Source organism: Homo sapiens, chromosome 1, assembly GCF_000001405.40.
Source record: "Homo sapiens chromosome 1, GRCh38.p14 Primary Assembly".
NCBI lineage: Eukaryota > Metazoa > Chordata > Mammalia > Primates > Hominidae > Homo > Homo sapiens.
Genome location: NC_000001.11, coordinates 152,009,706 through 152,028,535, shown reverse-complemented (window position 1 = coordinate 152,028,535; position 18,830 = coordinate 152,009,706). Strand labels below are relative to the sequence as shown.

Genomic DNA, 18,830 nt, shown 5'->3' with positions numbered 1-18,830 from the left:
TGATTTCTTTCTTTTTTTTTTTTTTTTTTTTTTTCCGAGATGGAGTCTCGCTCTGTCACCCAGGCTGGAGTGCAGTGGTATAATCTCAGGTCACTGCAACCTCTGCCTCCCGGATTCAAGCATTTCTCCTGCCTCAGCCTCCCGAGTAGCTGGGATTACAGGCATGCGCCACCATGCCCGACTAATTTTTGTATTCTTAATAGAGACGGGGTTTCACCTTGTTGCCCAGGCTGGTCTCGAACTCTTGACCTCGTGATCCGCCCTTCTTGGCCTCCCAAAGTTCTGGAATTACAGGCATGAGCCACCGTGCCCGGCCCGATTTCTTGGTAAAGTAGCAAATAGACCAGTAGGGTGCCTGATATTTTTCCATCTCTTCCCTAGCTCACTGTTTTTTGGGGATAGTGACACTTTTTAAAAAAAAATACAGGGTGCACCTGCTAAAGGAATAATATGGAGACTTAATGACTACTGATTTTTTCCTTCTTGTGCCACTAATGAATTAAGGGACACATCTGAGAGGTAGCTACAATTGTACTAAAATCCACTGTGAGTGTGATTTATGCAAGAAAGATAATATAGCAAAATTTTGATAAATATACATGTTTTAAGTTAAAGCAAATATTTTAAATATCCTTTTTATAAATATCCATTTTCACCAATTTTTTTAAGTTAGCCAAACCAACTACAGGTCCCTACCCTTTAGAAAAGAGGACCTCTACCATTTTGCAATAAACTCTCTTAAGCTTCTCCCTGTCCAGTTGGACCTCTTCCATCCCTTTCTCCACCGTGTGATCAAAGAGAGTTTTTAAAGGCAAATGTTCTGGTATCGCTCCCATGTGTAAAACCAGGCATTGGACCTTCTGAATATACAGGATTCCCTGGAGCACTCAAGAGCCTTTGTGGTCTGCTCCCTGCCCACCTTGCCAACCAAGGCTAGAACTGATGTCACAGTGATGTGCCTCTTTGCTTTGACACACGCTCTTCTTGCTGCCCTGAAAGGCCTTGGCCGCCTTTCCACCTGTTTCTACTTGCCCTGTAGAGCAGTGTAAGTATCATCTCCCCAAGAAGGCCTTTCCTAAGACCCCTATCCAAAGCTGATTTTAATGCTCTTATTCTATGCTCCAGAGCACTCCATTCTTGCCTCTATCATAGCACTTGCCACTCTACTTACAGTGTTCTTACTTGTCTGTCTTTTCTAACTTGACTTTGAGCTCAAGAACAGAGACCTAATTAAAGGCATCTTTGTATTGCTAGGACTTAATGTGGTACCCAGCATATAGTAGCAAAAAAAAATTGTTGAATGAAAAAAATATATGATACATGAATAAGCGATAAGAGAATGCTATACCAGATGTGGGACATACCATGTATATCAGTCTGGGTTCCCACAGGAAACACATGCACACTCAAACGGGTCACTGAAGAGAATTTAAGGAATGCACTATTTATGAAGATGTAAGAGATAAGATAAATAACAAGAGATGGCAAAGCACCAGGACTAGCAAAATTAGGATGCTGTTCCCACCTCTCAGCCTGACTGGCAAGGGAGAAATTATTGGAATTCAAGAGCCATATAGCCCAGGAAGAGGGGCCACTCACGGATGCTGTGGCCTTAGATGTAGAAATACAGCCACTGTCAAACCACAGCCTGGCAGGAGGGACCCCGGGGAATAAATATTGATTTCTCTCTCTTCCCACCTTCTGATCGCCTGCAAGTGCCTCCTGTTGGTCCACCCTACTGGAAGTCTGAGCTGGGCAGAGAAGCACCAAAAGTGGAGCTGGAGGAGCAAACAGAATATCCAGCACACTGCAGAAAGCTGAGATTGGTATTCTTCTACCGCATGGCTACTCCTGCCACCAAGGGGAACACAGAGTAAAGTGACAACACTAATTCAGGTAGACTTTTTTTGTGTGTGTATTTTCTTGAGTTATTGAAAATTTTAAATTTTTTTATTATGGTTAAATATACAGAACATAAAAATTTAACACTGTTACCATTTTTTAAGTGTACATTTTAGTAGCATTAAGTATATTCACATTGTATAAACATCACCACCAATACCTCCATAACGTTTCCATCTTCCCAAACTGAAAGTCTGCATCCATTAAACAATAACTTCCCTCTCTCCCCTCACCTACCTCCTGGTCACCATCATTCTACTTTCTGTCTCTATTCATCTGACTACTCTAGGTACCTCCTGTCAGTGGAATTATACAACATTTGTCTTTTTGTGTCTGACTTATTTCACTTAGCATAATGTCTTCAAGATTCATTTATGTTGTTGCATATGTCAAAATTTCCTTCCATTTCAGGGCTGAATAATAGTCCATTGTGTGTATATTTGTGTGTATGTGTGTGTGTGTGCCACATTTTGTTTATCCATTCATCTATTGATGGACACTTGGGTTGCTTCCACCTTTTGTTATTGTGCATAGTGCTACAATGAATGCAGGTGTATAAATAATGATTTAAGTCTCCGGGAATACAACCCAGAAATAGAATTGCTGGATCATATGGTAATTCTATTTTTAGTTTTTGAGGAACCACCATACATCTTTCCACAGTGGCAGCACCACTTTATATTCCCACCAGCAATGCTTACAAGGTTTCCAAAGTCTCCACATACTCACCAACACTTGCTATTTTCTTCTTTTTAAAATAATAGCCATCCTAATGAATGTGAAATAGTATCTCATTTTGGTTTCCTTTCACATTTTCCTAAAGATTGGTGATGTTAAGCATCTTTTCAATGTGCTTATTGGCCATTTGTATATCTTCTTTGGAAAAATGTCTATTTGATTCTTTTGCCCATTTTGTATTGGGTTGTTTGGTTTTTGTTGAGTTGTAGGAGTTCTTTTTATATTCTGGGTATTAAGCCCTTATTAGATATGTGATTTGCAAATATTTTCTACCATTCTGTGGGTCGCCTTTTCACTCTATTCATAGTGTCCTTTGATGCACAAAAGTTTTTCGTTGTGATGAAGTCCAATTTATATGTTTTTTTCTTACATTTCCTGTGGCTTTGGTGTCATATCCAAGAAATCATAGCTAAATCCAATGTACATTTTTTTAATGAAGAAAAACAAGAAGAAAAAAATCAAGCAAATATCTATCTCTTTTGATGGAGATTTGGGCCATGGTGGTAGGACTTCTGCCAAAATTTAGTATGCAGCAGATATAGAAAGCCCCTTTCCTACCGCAAATAATGCTGGATAACATAGAATCTTCCCCTTCCCCTCAAAAAGTTAAAATACTTGGTCAATTAAAAGGCAGAAAGAGAATTATTCAGGTGCCGGAAGCACAAAGGGAACTGATAGCTGTCACGGTGCCCCAGAGCGGAGGCCACGTGGCCCAGGCCATGGTGGAGAACTAGAACTGAACTCTTAGTGAAAAGAGAGAGCTGCTAAAGAGCTGCCCTGTCACTGATGGAGACTGGAAAGCTCAGTCCACCACCTCTCAAGACACAGAATGAGCCCTGGAGCGAGGCAAAGTCATCTGAGAGAAATCAGAGCACTGCACCTGTGTTCCCAGAAGGCATGGGGTTCAAACACATGCTATTAAAGAAATAAAACAAAAACTACCCCAGAGTTGTAAGCGCCATAAAACCCTAGACAAATGCAAAACCACCTCGTGGAGATGCCTCCAGACATTTGGAGGATGTCCACAGGAGATAAATACACTTAGAATAGGCTCACAGGCACACGAGGGATGACAAGTACATACAACAGACTAGAGACTTCACACTGAGTAACAAGAGGGAGAGCAATCTGGAAGGATGTTAGCATGAGTGTGTTTAAAATGGTCAAATAAATCAATAGATCAAATGCATAAAACAAGAACAAAAGTATATATATATAAAAAAAGAACCAAGTGTATAATTGAAATATACAGCCGTGCAAATGGACCCTGAAGCTGGGCATTCCACCACCAATTTGTGACCCAGCTCCGGCTATAGGGGAGAGGATCCCTCCCTGCCCCCCTGCACCTCAGGAAGACTTCATTGACTCACTGCACCCACCCACCTTACAATGACCCTATTGTACCATCCAGCAACCTGGTGAGAGATGTGTTGGGAATTCAGGCAGAGAGACTGAGAGGACCACACCTGTGCAGCAACCGTGATAATTCATGCTTTGTTTCTTGGCCCTCCCTAATCTCCTAAATCTCTCCCAGTCACCACCAAGAAAGAAGACTGGGAGGGAGAGGCAAGTCTGCACTGGCCGCAAACTGGATTCTGAGTGATTTGAGCTGCCTGTAAAGTTAGACAGTGGGGGCAGAGAGAAGCATCAGTAGTCCTGGTTCCCGGCCCCACCTCTCTCCACCGAGAAAAACGTTTCTGTTACCAGATTCATATTTTACCCTCACAATGACTTAGTGTCAACATTATCATTAAACATGATCCGCAGAGTCACTAGGGATTCTGGTAGGAATGCAAGCAAAGACAATGACTCCGGAAAGTTGCAAGTCCAGTCTGTAAAGAGACTAACTTCTGGCAAGGGAAGAAACACAAATCTGAAAGTTGGGAAAAGTGTAATTATCACATAGGAAGCAAAGGTTGCTTCATAAATGCTAGCTCACCGTTCTCCTCATCTCCTCACTACTAAGCATCCTCAGCTCCCTGCAACAAGGCTGCTTTCTCCTCCCCATTGCTGAAATTGCTTTCCCCAGAATCAAACAAGTCCTTACCTACCATATAGCCAAATCCAGCAGGCTATTCTCAGCCTTCATTGTCCTTGATGCTTAGCACTGGTAGATGTGGTTGACGGCCCCACCCTCTTGATGCCTGCAGAGGTGGGCTCCATGTGGCAATGAACTGAGGATTGCTCACAATGGAGCCCCTAGCCCAGAGCAGGGCCTGGCACCTAATAGGCACCCTGTGAATGCTCAGTGAAAGAAGGCATCCACTGCAAGGTCCTGGGGAACAAGGAATTCCAATGTGGCCCATATATTTTAAGTCATAGAGGATCCTAGATGTAAAAGGCCTTCAAAAGTGGCCACTCTTTTAAAGCATTATACTGGCAGCTGAGCCATGTTTCCCCATCATGGACACATCTAGAGGGCACTGCCTAAAACCATACACATCTACGCCCCTCCCCAGGAATGTGCAGGGGACTTAGCCTGGGGCATATGGGTGGGCAGAGGGGGGTGAACGATGAAAGCTGAAGAAAAGAAAACAGGTGGAAGGGGCCAGCAGGGTGGGAACAGAGAGAAAAAACAAAGCGGGGCAGGGAACGGAGGGCAGATGGGAGAAGAGAGAGAGAGATACAGATCTAGCCACTGAGGAAAAGGTCAGAAGAGAACACTGTCCTCTACTGAAGTAAAATGACTTCCACCTGACCATGGCACTGCAGGTCGTGGGCAGCACACGCTGGTCATGCTGCGATGTTTAGGACCCATGGCATCTTCCCTTCAAATCCAAATCATAATAGAGAGAGGACTCTGTCCTCATTGAGCCGGCAATATCATGGGATATTGATGCAATATGTATATTGCATAGATATATGCAATATACATATCTGTATGATCATTTCATCAATTCCTTCTCTTCAGGCTTCGCACCTCCCTGATGAGCCAGGTGACACAGACATAACAGAAGATTAAACAGAGAGGGATTGGACCTCAGGGAGTCCTAGCTAGTTTTGACAGGAAGCATAAGAGAGTGGTCCCAGAAAGCAAACAGGAGGTTCCCTTTAAGAGGGAACAGGCACTCCTCCACTCTCTGCAACAGAGCATGGCTGCTATGGGAGCCAAAGAGGAAGACAGCAGCTGGTGTTCATTGCACTGGGCAGATAGGAGCTGAGGAGGATGGAGACTCAGCTATCCCTGTATGGTACAGACATGACACTCAGCACACACAGAGAACCATAACAGCTGCCACACCCTGTGTCTAAGCTGGGTTGAATTTAACATATTGTGGCCAGGGGAATGCAGGCTTTTGGCCCAATGTAGACGCCAGAGAGAGTGTGCCTCCTAGATCTTTTTCATATGTTACCACCCATTATTGCTCCTGATTATTCAGTGTTACCTGGGGGCACGTGATTCCCGCACTTTCTCAGCCTCCTCAACGTAAACATCGTCATCCACATCTTCATCATTTTCTGTAAATACAGGAATGTTCATTCAGATATTTCTCACTTCACATTCTGCAAGCATAGTCAGCCCAATGTGTGCAGACACATGAACATCTAGGCATGGGTCACCATTCAACTGAAAGCTCTCATGTTTTATCTTTAACAAAATGCCCTGGCACAGTTTCCTAATCCATCAGGCAATGCATTTCTGATCTGGAGGGCCACCATCAAGATGTGGCCAAATATTGAAAACATCTTTTGGTCCCCATATCCCTGGAGACTTGTCCAGCCTCTCTCTGGACTTTGGCAGCTGTCTCCGCCATCCTGCCACAGATCTGATTCCCAGGCACAGGCTTGGTGTCCTGTCACAGTTCACATTTCGAAACTAATTCTTTCTCTTAGGAGAGGACAAACTTGTCCCACAGTCCTCTGTCCATCAGGGGACTTCACAGGCCCACCAAGTGGCTTCTGCTGTGTTATTCAGGGACATTCTCTCCATGGAGAGTACTCCAGTCTGAAGCACTCCTACCACCAAATGCCCCCACATCAAGTGCCTTCTCCAACACCACACGGCAAGGAGCTTCATCTCATTTTGAAAAGCAGTCGTTAAGTGTTCCCACATTTGAATGCTAAAGACACTTGCAAGAGACAATTTGCCGGCCTTTGCAGATGGAGAGAGAGAAACCCAGGAAGGATAAATCAATCACTCACCGACAGTTACGAAGGACGTTGCTGAAGATAGAGCCTGGGAACCTCCATGCTTAGTCCAGAGCTCTTTTCACTCTAACAAGCGCCCTCCTGTCACAGCCTCCTTCTTGTCCTTTAAAACTGGAGAGATGCTGCCTCCTGTTCCAAAGACCACCTTCCATCAAGGAAGGAGGGACATTTACAATACTGTGACCACCAATCCCATGGGTTTCCCATCTCTGTTGTTACCCAGGAAGTCCTGGTCATGTCATGGCCACATATGTTTAGTGGAAAAAAACACCACCAATACAACTGTCATTGTGGAGGTATGGAGGTCTGGAGTCTCTCATAAGCCTGGGGTTTTGTGTCATCAGGGCCTGTGGCCACCTTACCTGGGCTGAGTTTGTGGATGAGGTTCTCTGTCAGCCTGCAGCCCTCAGCCAGCTGCTCTCAGATATCCTGCCCCTGGGAGTTGTCAGGCTCATCCGGAGTGAGGAGGGCCTGGAGATGCTGATTCAATGAGCGGGAGGCATCTCTCCCTTCCTGTAATCTCTTCCTTAACCAGGCCAGCTCTCGTGCCTGAGAGTGAACTAGGACTTTATATTGCCTAAGGTGAGACAGTAGAGAAAATTTAATAATGGAAAGGGATGAGTGATCAGTTCTAATATTGCAACAGAGATCTCTGAGACAATGTCCTCAAGGAGACCTCCAAGCAGAAGGTCAGCACATGTTTGGGGAAATGCCTGTGGCCAAGACAAAAAGAATTTTTTTTACAGGCTTCCTCTATATCAGAGAGTGCAACTGAAATATCCTCGACAATGTTGCATTCATATTTCTCTTCTGTAAACAAAAGTAGGTCTTTCTAAATCAGTTTCAAAAAGACATCCTTTCAATTCCTCACTTTGGCCATCGACATTTCCATGTGAAAATACACATAAGGTATTTTGTGGTGACTAGATACAAAGCCAGGTACAGAAATGAGGCTAGGTGCAGATGGGGCAAATTGAAAAGACGAAAGAAGAAAAGAATGACAGGGTCGAGAAGGCAACACTGATTGAGTGAAAGAATGAGAAGCCGCAGTCCGTCAGGAGGTGATTCTGACTAAGGGTAAGTGGGGTGATGATGGCACACCATTTTGAGTATACTGAATGCTGCTGGGTGGTTTCCACTCCTTTGGTTAATTTTGCATTATGCAAGTTTCACCTCAACAGTTACTTGTTTGAAAAAGAGAAAACAAGGTTCTGAGAAACAACTGCAACTCATAACTTATTATTATCCTTGTTCTCTGTTTGATAAATATTTGGGTGTCGTGAGCCTGCCATGGCAATTCCTGCCCTTCCCCTGGCCCAGCTTAGCTCTTATTTCTCCCGGCTGAGCTGCTGTACTTCAGAGATTCACATACCTGCCCACCTGCCTGCCCCCACGGGGCCGCCTCACCTGAGCTCCTCAGCTTGCCCAAGCTGCTCTGCAAGCTTCTCGTCCTTGAATTGCAGCTCATCCCTCAGCATAGATTTTATGAGGTCTTTGAATTCTTCATACTCTGAGAAAAGACAGACGCGCCTGCCTCAGTGGAAGGCTAGACATGCTGCTGTGGTCATTGCCTACAGGGCAGGAGACAGGTCCATCCCAAGGACAAAACTGTCCCCAGTACCAGGCTCTAGGCAGGGATTTCCATATTTTTACTCTTTGGTCTCCCAACTTTCTGGCATCTAATCCTCCAAAATTTAGAGATGAAGAAAGAGAAACTCAAGGGCACACCAACTAAGTTGACAAGATGATTCAATCACAACGAAGTGGAGTCCGAATTCACAACCCCTGAGGTCTGACTCTGAATCCTGGGCCATTTTCCCAAGGCTTGCAGCCTCTCCTGTAAACACTGCACTGGGCCATGAAGTGATTTTCCGTAGAGTTGGTAAGGCCCCTAGGACAATGAGACTGACAGTTTCCCTTTTACTGAGAATTTCAAGCACAACTATGTCAAAGATTTTAAAAATACTATCTGGATAAACTGCATAAAATATGAGGCATAAGACCATAAGGCCATGAAGGAAATATGCCGAAATACTAATCAAGTTTCTGTTAAGTTAGAAACAGTAGAATGAAGAACTAATAGTGTTTACTCTGTGCCAACAACTGTTCCAGGAGGTTTACAAGAAATAGGTCATGTAATTCATTGCAGCAATTTGCAGAGGTAGGTATTATTATAGTACCCTATGGACAGATGAAGAAGCAGAGGAACAGAGAAGACAAGCAACTTGGGTGGAGCCCAGGACACTGGCCCAGGGTCCCTGCTCTACACATGCTACCTCCACAAAGTCTTGGGTGCCGTCTTTCTTCCTTTTTAGGAACAAGAGCCAGTGCCCTAGGAAGCAGGACTTCCCTCTCACCAGGGTACTCCCTGCTCTTGATGCTGTCACTCATAGATACCACAGGTTCTATTAGGAGCAGAGTTCTCTTTAAGCTCCTCAGTGCGGGTACTGTGTACTAACACCATGTTTCCTCCAGGGTCTCCAGAACAGAGCTTTGCCTATTGGGCCTCAACAGAGACTTGAACTGAATGGAAGTTCATGAGTCCCACATATTTAGACCAACAGACTAGATGCTACTTGTCTGCAGAATCTTTTATGGTACAGAGAGGATTCTAGTAACATGATTTAGCCTCTTGCTGAGAAAACAGGTGGTGCTGTGCCTGTGTCAGAAATCAAGAACTGGGATTTTTAACTCTAATCCCACCGCCACCTGACTGCAAACATGGAAAAGTTGCTAAATACTTTCTGCCTCTGTCTTCCATTTCTAACAAAATGTTAAAATACCCATTTCTATTTTCCTAGAAGCACGGGAAAGATGAAATTATTTTTGATGGAGAGAGCATTTAGTTTCTCAGAGAGAAGACAGGACATCATTCCTCACTTTTGTGATGGTGAGCCTATCGAACTTACGGTATTTCTTCTGCTGGTTGGCCAGGAATTAGGCCACTTGAGTTACAAGAAATTTCTCTTTATGTTTCTGAACTGCTGTTTGTTCTCTGCCGGCTGGGGGCGCAATTTCTTGTTGATTTCTCCAGTGTTCATCTCTGTCTTCTCACACTGGATGAAGGGCTGGCAGACACCACCATGCTGATGTTTGTGGCAGAAGAGGTGGAGCCAGGGACTGGGGAGAAGAAACCCAAACACATGATGGGTTAAAAACTGGTGAAATCAAATAGGTTTAATCAGGACTGAGGGATGTCAGTAAAATTCTTAGCTTACTGTTGAGAAAAACGTGATCACTCCCCACAGCACTTGAGAGTCCTTAATCGCAAAAACAAGGTTTGAGACGCCTGAGCTCAGAGCTGAAGGCACTGCCTGTAGCTCAGACTCTGACAAGAGTGAGGGAGGTGGCAGCCAGCATGCCAGGTAACGGTCTGCAGTTGCAATAACAGAATTAGAAGGTGGGGGTGTCATGGAATCTTAGGAGCCCTGCGTTCCAATTGCCCAGGCTTTGCTGAAACACAGGCGCCCTGGTCACACGAGAGGTCACCACCGATGGGGGCCTTCCCTTCAGCATTCACTCTCAGTATATGTGTACCCTTGTACCCTTGTGACAATGCCACAGACCCATCTCTTTCCCAATACATCTAAGCATCTTCCTCATTGTTCATTTCTTGTGTGTACAAAATCATCAAGGCAGAAATAGTTTCCCAACAGGTTATATTTTCTAAATGGTAGTCATGAAGTCAGTCACTCCACCTTCTCTCACGTTAAAATAGAATTTAAGGCTTTTCCACGGTGTAAGATATCAAACTTTTAGACTGCCATGATATCCTGTGGGTCTTCTGCAGTTTTTTCTGTATCCACCAGAAAGTGAATGAATAATTAATTTTTTAAAAATGTTTTCTTTCCTGTCTCAGTATTCTTCTTGGGGCATCCCATTGTTATGTTGATTTCTTTTTTCTTACTGGGGCACCATCTTGGCTTTTCATTACATTTAAGACCAGTTTGACATTCCTACATCCAAAGCTCTTCCTCTATGTGGGATGATTTGTTTTTTAATGTGACTGAACACTACATTTCATACTTGTCACTTATGGATGTCATTCTGGGCCCATAAGAGCTCTTTTCAAGGTATCAAGTGATCAAAATCATTTACATAGGGAGCTCCTGAAAACACGTGTGACCATCGATCTTGGGAAGTCTTGCAAACCTGATACTATTTTGTTGTTTTCCTTTAGTTTTCCCATATATTGAAAAGAACAGGGCCATGAGCAGTTCTTATGGAATATTGCTTGATAAGTATTTTTCTGAGTTGGACTAACACAACTGATGTGTGGTTGCTTTCCACTAACAGAACATGGCAACATCAAGGTCATGGTCTTGGTGTTAGTAGTTGGTATTTGGTGATCCTCAGTGTTGCTGTGCAGTAGAAGGTGAGTTTGACGTGAGAGGAATGAGTAGGGGAGAGAGATCCCCTGAACCACCTCCTCACTTTCTCGGCATTCATTCCCACCTAGGTTTTGTGAGCCTGGAACTTGAGAGACTGTTCTGTAGCCCAGGTCTCCTCAGTTTGGCTGTTGGACTTGCCCGAGTTGAGGGTGCAGTGGGTGTGACCCTGGGCTGCCCAGCATTCATGTGGAAGTGAAGGAAGGAGGACTGGATCAATCCCATTTGAAAGCATCCCTCTCTACAGCGCCCACCATCTTCCAACTATACTGCGTAGGGATACTGCTTTGAGATGTATCAAAGGCTTTTTAAGTCAATGTATTTTCTGGTGTCTGGGAGACCTGACATTCTGTGGCAGAATGAAAATCTGTCAAGTTTTTTCCTGTTAAATATGATGAAACTGCAGGATCACAAAGTTATGTGGCTTACTTGAGGTCACACAGGGATGAATTTTGAGCACTGCCAATAAAAGCAATCACAACAATTATTCAGTAATTATTCATAGGATCCATATTCAGTAAATATTCATATAATTATTCAGTAATTATTCATTGACCAATTCATACCAGGCATTTTGCTCAAAACTGTCCACATATTTGGACATCATATCTTCATCATAATCCTTAAGGTAATGCTATTATCCATAAGAATCAGCTAAGAAACCTGAACAAGAGGGATAGCTAATCATGTATTTGGCCATATTTCTACTTTTTGGTTTTTGTGATGCTGGAAGAATGACCAGAATGAGTCACGGGAAGAGTATTCCTTCCTGTATTATTTTCCAGGACAGAGGTGTGCCCTTCCAGAGTACTGGGACCAAAATTCAGAAGTGTCTGCAACCTTGCTTTAACAGTATGGGAAATAACCTCTATCACCTGGAATTTCCCTGGAACTTTGGAATATGCAAGAGAAGTATGAGACCTGGGTCTTCCCTTTGCTGTGTTTAATTCACTCTTCTATGGAATACCAATGATTCTCACTAAGACTTTTGCCTCTTTATAATCACAATTTATGTTTCATGAAGAAGATTTTACTGTTAGCTCTATTTAGAAAGAATAAATATAAGCTATGGTTTAGGTTTTATGCCCTGGACTTAATATTTTTATGATTTCTGTTTTGAGATTAAATCCTCATGTAAATAGAAAAATACTTGTTATTACTTATAAGAGCAAATTAGTTATTGGTTTGAGTTTTTGAAGTCAAAGCACAAACTTTTGATTTTATCTTTGTTTGTTGTCATCAGCGCTGCTCATTGTCTGACCTGGCCATGCCCCCGCACTTACCCTTGTCCTGCTGAACCGTCTCCACGCACTGTTCAATTCCATCAGTGATTCGGGCTCCTCCCAATGCTCCCTGAAATAGGCACAGGGATCAGGACGTCAGACACATTCCAGACACAAAGGCAACCCATACTGTAGAGTGAGCAGCTGTTTTCCCACTTCCCTGAAGTTGGCAGTGGTGTCCTAAGACAGGAAGGAATTATTTCCCTTTTACTAGGGGGTCTGTTCTTCATGTCTCAGTGCCTCTGATCTAGTGAACACAACTGTCCTGAACATCAATGAACTTGCTAAATTTCTGGTTTCTTGCTAGGAGGCTAGAATAGATTTATAAGACTTCCTTACTTACCCATGTCTGCTGAAGTCTGAATTCTTAGCAGTATGATTCCTTTTCTTTTAAGGAGCAGCTTAAGGAAGATTGGCCCCATTGCCATGCAAAAAGAGGTAAAGTTAATTTCTACTCAAAGCAAACTTGAATTTGAAACTAGGTCTTCCACTGTTTCAAAGTTAGACTGTCATTGCCTCAGGCATGTGTCCTAAAGGGCTTGTGTCGCTGCTCTACTCAGGATAAAGTTATTTATCATTATGGCAAGTTATAATTAATTTGCCATAATATAATTAATTGTCAAGATAAAGTTATTTATCACAATGGCAAGGACAAATTTAGAAGACTTATTAAACTTACTTCTTTATTTCCCCAGCTGGCCAGGAAATAGTCAGTAGCTACTGTTATCATTAGTGTCCTCTGAATACCTTGGCTGTGTTAACTGCTTTGACTCAACATGGAGCTGAGGTGTTGGCATACTGTACCTTGAGATGCTGAAATATGGCTGAAGTCCAGGGTCACTGGCCCAGGACAGGTCATCCAGCTGTTGGAGACAACCAGAAGGGGAACCAGGCCATCCACTGAGGTCATCTCATGTGGCATGGGCCACTGGTTCCAATGAACCCACCATCACTACAATTCTCATGACTCACCAGTCACTAGACTGAGAATTCTATGAGAGTTGAGATCCTATTTTACTCATCTCTGTGTTCATGGTTCTTAGCTAAGGGCCCAGCACAGAGGGACCTCTCAGCAGTGTTCATCAATGATTGAATAAAAGCGATTGCAAACTTCCAATCCCCTCACCTACATTTCTGTCCCAAATGTCTTGTAAGGATGCTCTTTCTCTCAGGATGCTGCAAATACCCTTCCCTGGAGAGGCGCCTGCTTTACACCATCCATGCCCCAGGATCCTCCCCTGTGGAAGCTTAGAGGAAGACTGGTCTGTCCTAAAAATTTTCTCTTATGGTTCCCCCTGTCATTAGGAGCAATGTCCTTTGACATACCCTCCCATCCTCTGGGCTGCCACAACACCTCAGTTTGGTAGAACTACCATATTTTTTGAAATGATCTGTTTGTGTTCTCCCCCTCACTGGCTTGAGTTCTTTTGGAGGGACATTAAATATCTGAATCCCAAGTGCTTAGCACAATATAAAGAAAATTAAATACCCAATAAATATTTATGAGAAACCTTCCTCAACTGTAAGGACAGAAGAAGATTATTAGTATCACTGCTTCATATACAAGCAAGGGACACTTACTCTGGCACGTGACCTAGGGCAGACCTGTTTAATGTAAGAATGGATGTCTCCAAACCTTCTCCCAGCCTGGTTATTCCCTCTAACCCACACTGACCTGAAGAGCATCCACTGCTACGGCAGCCCCAAGGTCAAGGCTCCTGGGTCTGGGGCGGGGACTCATGGTCGCATCCTCCCCCTCTTGAAGTTGCTGCTGCCCCTCACTATAAACCAGCTCTGAGCCAAGAGAGTAAGATTCTCTCTCAGTCCCCACTGCTCAGTTCCCACTGCTCCCTGAGGGTCTGGATGATGATGGGCATTTCCCATTTCCCCTGAAGCCTCTGACCCAATTTGTCCTTATTGTCCCCTTCTTTGGTTTTCATTTACCAATGGCTTGTCCTTTGTGGTTATTCTCATCCCCTAAACCTGCTGACTTTCTTTCTTCCATCTGTTCCCTCAGTTCTGGGCTTCCAGGGTGTGGACTCAGCTCAGGCTCCTGCAGGAGACACACAGAGGCAGGTCTGAGCTGCAGGTCATGGGCAGTGTTAAAAACCATCTCCATTCCTCAGAGACTCAGAGAAAACACAGCAGGAAGGGACCTCAGAGAGGAACAATAAGCCCCTACCTTACTGACAAGGAAAGTGAAGCCAAGAAAGACTAAGACGCTCCCAGGCTGCCTCACCACATGGTGGCAGCAAATCGACCACACAAGCCTTGGCCTCAGCCTCCCTGTCCAAAGCACCTAACTCACCCTCCAGGAGCTCACTGCTGCATTTCAGAAAACTTTGGATCAAAAATAGCAATTTCCACCGTGAAAGCAAAAATAGTGAAAGGGCCTTTCCTTGGACAAACCCTTTATCACGGTTCTGTAGTCCTAGTATTTATACGCGGTCAGTTGTCATTTGCTGGCTGGTAGATCGGGGCAGGGAGCACATAAGGATTAAATAGTGCTTGACACAATCCTGCTTTCCCAGCCTGGGATCTCAGCCCCTCCATTCTGCTTCAGAAACTTTCCTCTGCTGTAACTGCTGTAACTGCTGGAGAGTCCAGGCCCTCATGTAGGTCATTTCTTGATGAAGATCCCTGTTACTTTCTTCCTCTCTTGAAGGGCAGAGATTGGTTCTGGGACTCTACAGTCCTAGGTTTTCTTCTAAGCCAGCCAGATCAGCTGAAAGCAATCATGACTGAGAGAGGTCAGGTCAGTGAACAGGGTCCCAAAGGAGCAGGGGGTCACGAGGACAGCCCCACATGGAGATGGTCAGGACCATGACATGGGCAATATCTGACCAATTCTGCTAGGGAGGATGCACCAAGGATTAAGGGGAGGATGCTGCCATAAAGAGAAAGGTGAAGAACCAAAGGAGTTCAAGGAGAAGGAAAATAAAATGATTTGAATAAAGGACAGAAAGAAATGCAGAGCCCAGAGGCAAAGCCCCATGTCACACACAGAGGGTTAGTTCCAGGCTGTGGATCCTAATCAAGAAATTCCTGCTGGATTTTGCTCAGCCCCATTTCAAAATGGTTTTGGGTCAGTGACTTTGTTCCTTCCACTTTCCCTCTTTTTGAACAAGAATCACTAGCATTGTTATTCTATGACTGTCCCACCATTGCACGTTGAGGGCAGATAAGCTTTGTTCAATTTCACAGCTCAGCAGAGGTAAGGGAATTATGTCAAGGATCTGTACTTGGGCTGGGTGCAGTGGCCTATGCCTATAATCCTAGCACTTTGGGAGGCCAAGGCAGATGGATCCCCTGAGGTCAGGAGTTCGAGACCATCCTGGCCAACAGGGCAAAACCCCATGTCTACTAAAAATACAAAAGAATTAGCTGGGTGTGGTGGACATGCCTGTAATCCGAGCTTCTCGGGAGGCTAAAGCAAGAGAATTGCTTGAACCCAGGAGGTGGAGGTTGCAGTGAGCCAAGGTTGTGCTGCTGCACTCCAGCATGGGCAACAGAGAGAGACTCCCTCAAAAAAAAAAGAAAAGGATCTGTACTTAATGGACACCCTCAGAAGCCTCGTTCACACTTGGTATAGAAGATTTAGATGAGATTTTAAACTTTTGATCAGATAAGATCTACATGACATTTTTCGCTTTGAACTAATGCATTAATGACATGAAACTCGGGAACCTTAGGTGAGAGGATGAATGTATTTTGCATCTGGGAGAAACGTGAATGTCTGGGGACGAGAAGTTGAACTGTGATAACCAGAATTTCTAAAATGGTCTCCAAAAAGCTGTACCCTTCTCTCTGGGACCTGTTAAGGTGGTGAGACATCATTCCTGTAATCATGTTGTTACATGGCAATTATATGACTTGAAAGAGTGATATGGTTTGGCTCTGTGTCCCCACCCAAATCTCATGTTGAATTGTGATCCTGCATGTTAGAGGTGGGGCCTGGCAGGAGGTTATTGGATCATGGGGTGGTTTCTAATGGCTTAGCACCACGCCCCAAGTGGTGTCTCGTGATAGTTTCCACGAGTTCTGGTTGTTTAAAAGTGTGTAGCACTTCCCCCTTCTCTCTCTCTCTCCTGCTTCTGCCATGATTGTAAGTTTCCTGAGGCCTCCCCAGAAGCAGAAGCCTGTACAGTCCACAGAACCATGACCCAATTAAACCTCTTTTCTTTATAAATTACCCAGTCTCGGGTGGTTAATTATAGCATTGCAAGAACATACTAATACAAAGGCTGAGCTTTCCTGACTGGGCCAGATCTCATCACATCACTCCATAAGTGCCAGAGCTTTCTCTAGTGGGTAGGAGAAGACAAAGTCAGAGAGGATGGAAGCTTGAGAAGAATTCCGTGAGCTGTTGTTGGTTGTATGGTGGGAAAGGCCAAGTGAGAAAGAATGCAGGTGGCGTCTGGAATCAGGGTGTCTCCTGGCTGAGAGCCAGCACAGAAAAAGGGATCTCAGTCCTCCACCGACAAGAAGATGAATTCTGCCAATACATCTGTAGTGAACTTGGAAGAGTAGCCTGAGCTCTAGATGAAAGCACAGGCAACGCATAACTGGATTTCAGCCTCCTAAGACCCTGATCAGAGAACCCAATCACTTCATTCCTGATTTCTGTGGTTTCAAACCACTAACTTGTTATAATGTGTTAATAGGCAGCAACAGAAAACTAGTTACAGATGCCTATCTCTACTCTTTTTTTCTTTGAGATGGAGCCTCACTCTGTCTCCCAGGCTGGAGTGCAGTGGTGCAAACCCAGCTCACTGCAACCTCTGCCTCCCTGGCTCAAGCAATTCTCTGCCTCAGCCTACCGAGTAGCTGAGATTACAGGCATCCACCACCACACTCATCTAATTGTTTGTACTTTTAGTAGAGATGCAGTTTTACCATCTTGGCCAGCCTAGCCTTGAACTCCTGACCTTGTGATCCACCTGCCTCAGCCTCCCAAAGTGCTGGGATTACAGGTATGAGCCACCGTGCCTGGCTTCTACTCTTGATTTTATATTTTCACATACACGTATGCTAATCCTTGTAAGCACAAAAAAGTAGAAAAGCACAGGACTACAGTAAAGTGTTACACTCACCTTTATGTGAGTACTGCAAGGGCTGTTCCAGAGCCCTTGCAACCTGAAAAGATAATGAAGGGCATTTCAGGCAGGTGAGAAGTGTCTCTTCAATGTTACCAACCAAATTTCTGAAAGAAAAAAGATGGTAAAATACTTAATTCCTGGCCGGGCACAGTGGCTTATGCCTGTAATCCCAGCACTTTAGAAGGCTGAGGTAGGTGGATCACCTGAGGTTGGGAGTTCAAGACCAGCCGGACCAACATGGAGAAACCCCGTCTCTACTAAAAATACAAAATTAGCAGGTCGCGGTGGCGCATACCTGTAATCCCAGCTACTCCAGAGGCTGAAGCAGGAGAATCCCTTGAACCCGGGAGGCAGAGGTTGCGGTGAGCCAAGATCGTGCCATTGCACTCCAGCGTGGGCAACAAGAGCAAAACTCTGTTTCAAAAAAAAAAAAAAAATACTTAACTCCACATAACATTATCTGTAAATTCATCATCTACATTTCTAATAGAAGATTTTTTTTTTAGCTCTTTCACTTGTGCTCACCAGATAAGGTTTGATAGCAACTATCAGTCAGCAGCACGAATGAACCAATTCAAGGACAGCAATAAACAGGACTACTATTAAGTTCCCCCAAAGAAAGTCCTTAGAATACAATATCTCTTCTAGTTGCCACAAAAGTAAGACAATGGTCCATTACATAAAATTCCAATCTAATAAAAGTTTAAATTTAATGTTGTCTGTTTTCCAAATTTTTATTTTGTTCAGGCTCCATCATGGTGACCAGGGATTAGAAAATAACCGCAAAGAGGCTCTGGAGAATTTGGGAAGGTAAGAAATGTATTCTAAGAGGGGACTGAGGTGATGGCTGCAAAATTCTATATATCTACTTAAATGACTAAATTCTACATTTACAGTTAGTGACTTTTATTACAAGTAATTTTTTAAATGAAATTTCCGGTTTCTACTCCAACATGTAAAGAGTTAGGAAGTCACCACTTGTCCTCACAACAAGAAAAAAGCTCAACAAACTGAAAATTATCAACCCTTCTTAGATGGACTAGAGGAGAGGTCACAGGGCAAATTGCCACCCTGAAAACTAAACAGACAGGCAAATACAGGGAATCAGAGGTTAGCAGGAAGAGAACATGCTGAAGCCAGCAACTGGAAAGAGCACATAAATGATACTGACAGATTTCTAGAAGCTGAGGGTGGCCTGGCTTGAGCATTAAAAACTTGGGGCCCAGACTTAGGGGGAACTCACAGTTTTCTAAGTTTTACCACCAGGAGCC

The 18,830-nt window shown here is 44.0% G+C and overlaps 1 long non-coding RNA gene and 1 pseudogene across 3 annotated transcripts; one reads left to right on the top strand and one right to left on the bottom strand.

Moving 5' to 3' along the window:
* Positions 1 to 947: 947 nt before the first annotated feature.
* Positions 948 to 18,370, top strand: LOC105371442 (uncharacterized). 2 transcript variants are annotated; one of them, XR_001738235.2, is made up of 3 exons: positions 948 to 1,045; positions 1,717 to 1,896; positions 18,307 to 18,370. It is a non-coding gene; the product is annotated as an uncharacterized LOC105371442 (long non-coding RNA). The 2 variants fall into 2 exon arrangements; XR_007066626.1 differs by lacking the exon at positions 18,307 to 18,370 and adding an exon at positions 9,591 to 9,658 and having other exon boundaries at positions 1,018 to 1,045.
* NBPF18P (NBPF member 18, pseudogene) lies at positions 6,027 to 10,258 on the bottom strand (annotated as a pseudogene). The gene is made up of 6 exons (NR_103561.1): positions 10,008 to 10,258; positions 9,699 to 9,909; positions 8,197 to 8,299; positions 7,152 to 7,366; positions 6,784 to 6,934; positions 6,027 to 6,099 (listed from the first exon to the last, which is right to left on the bottom strand). The product of NR_103561.1 is annotated as an NBPF member 18, pseudogene (transcript).
* Positions 18,371 to 18,830: the final 460 nt, after the last annotated feature.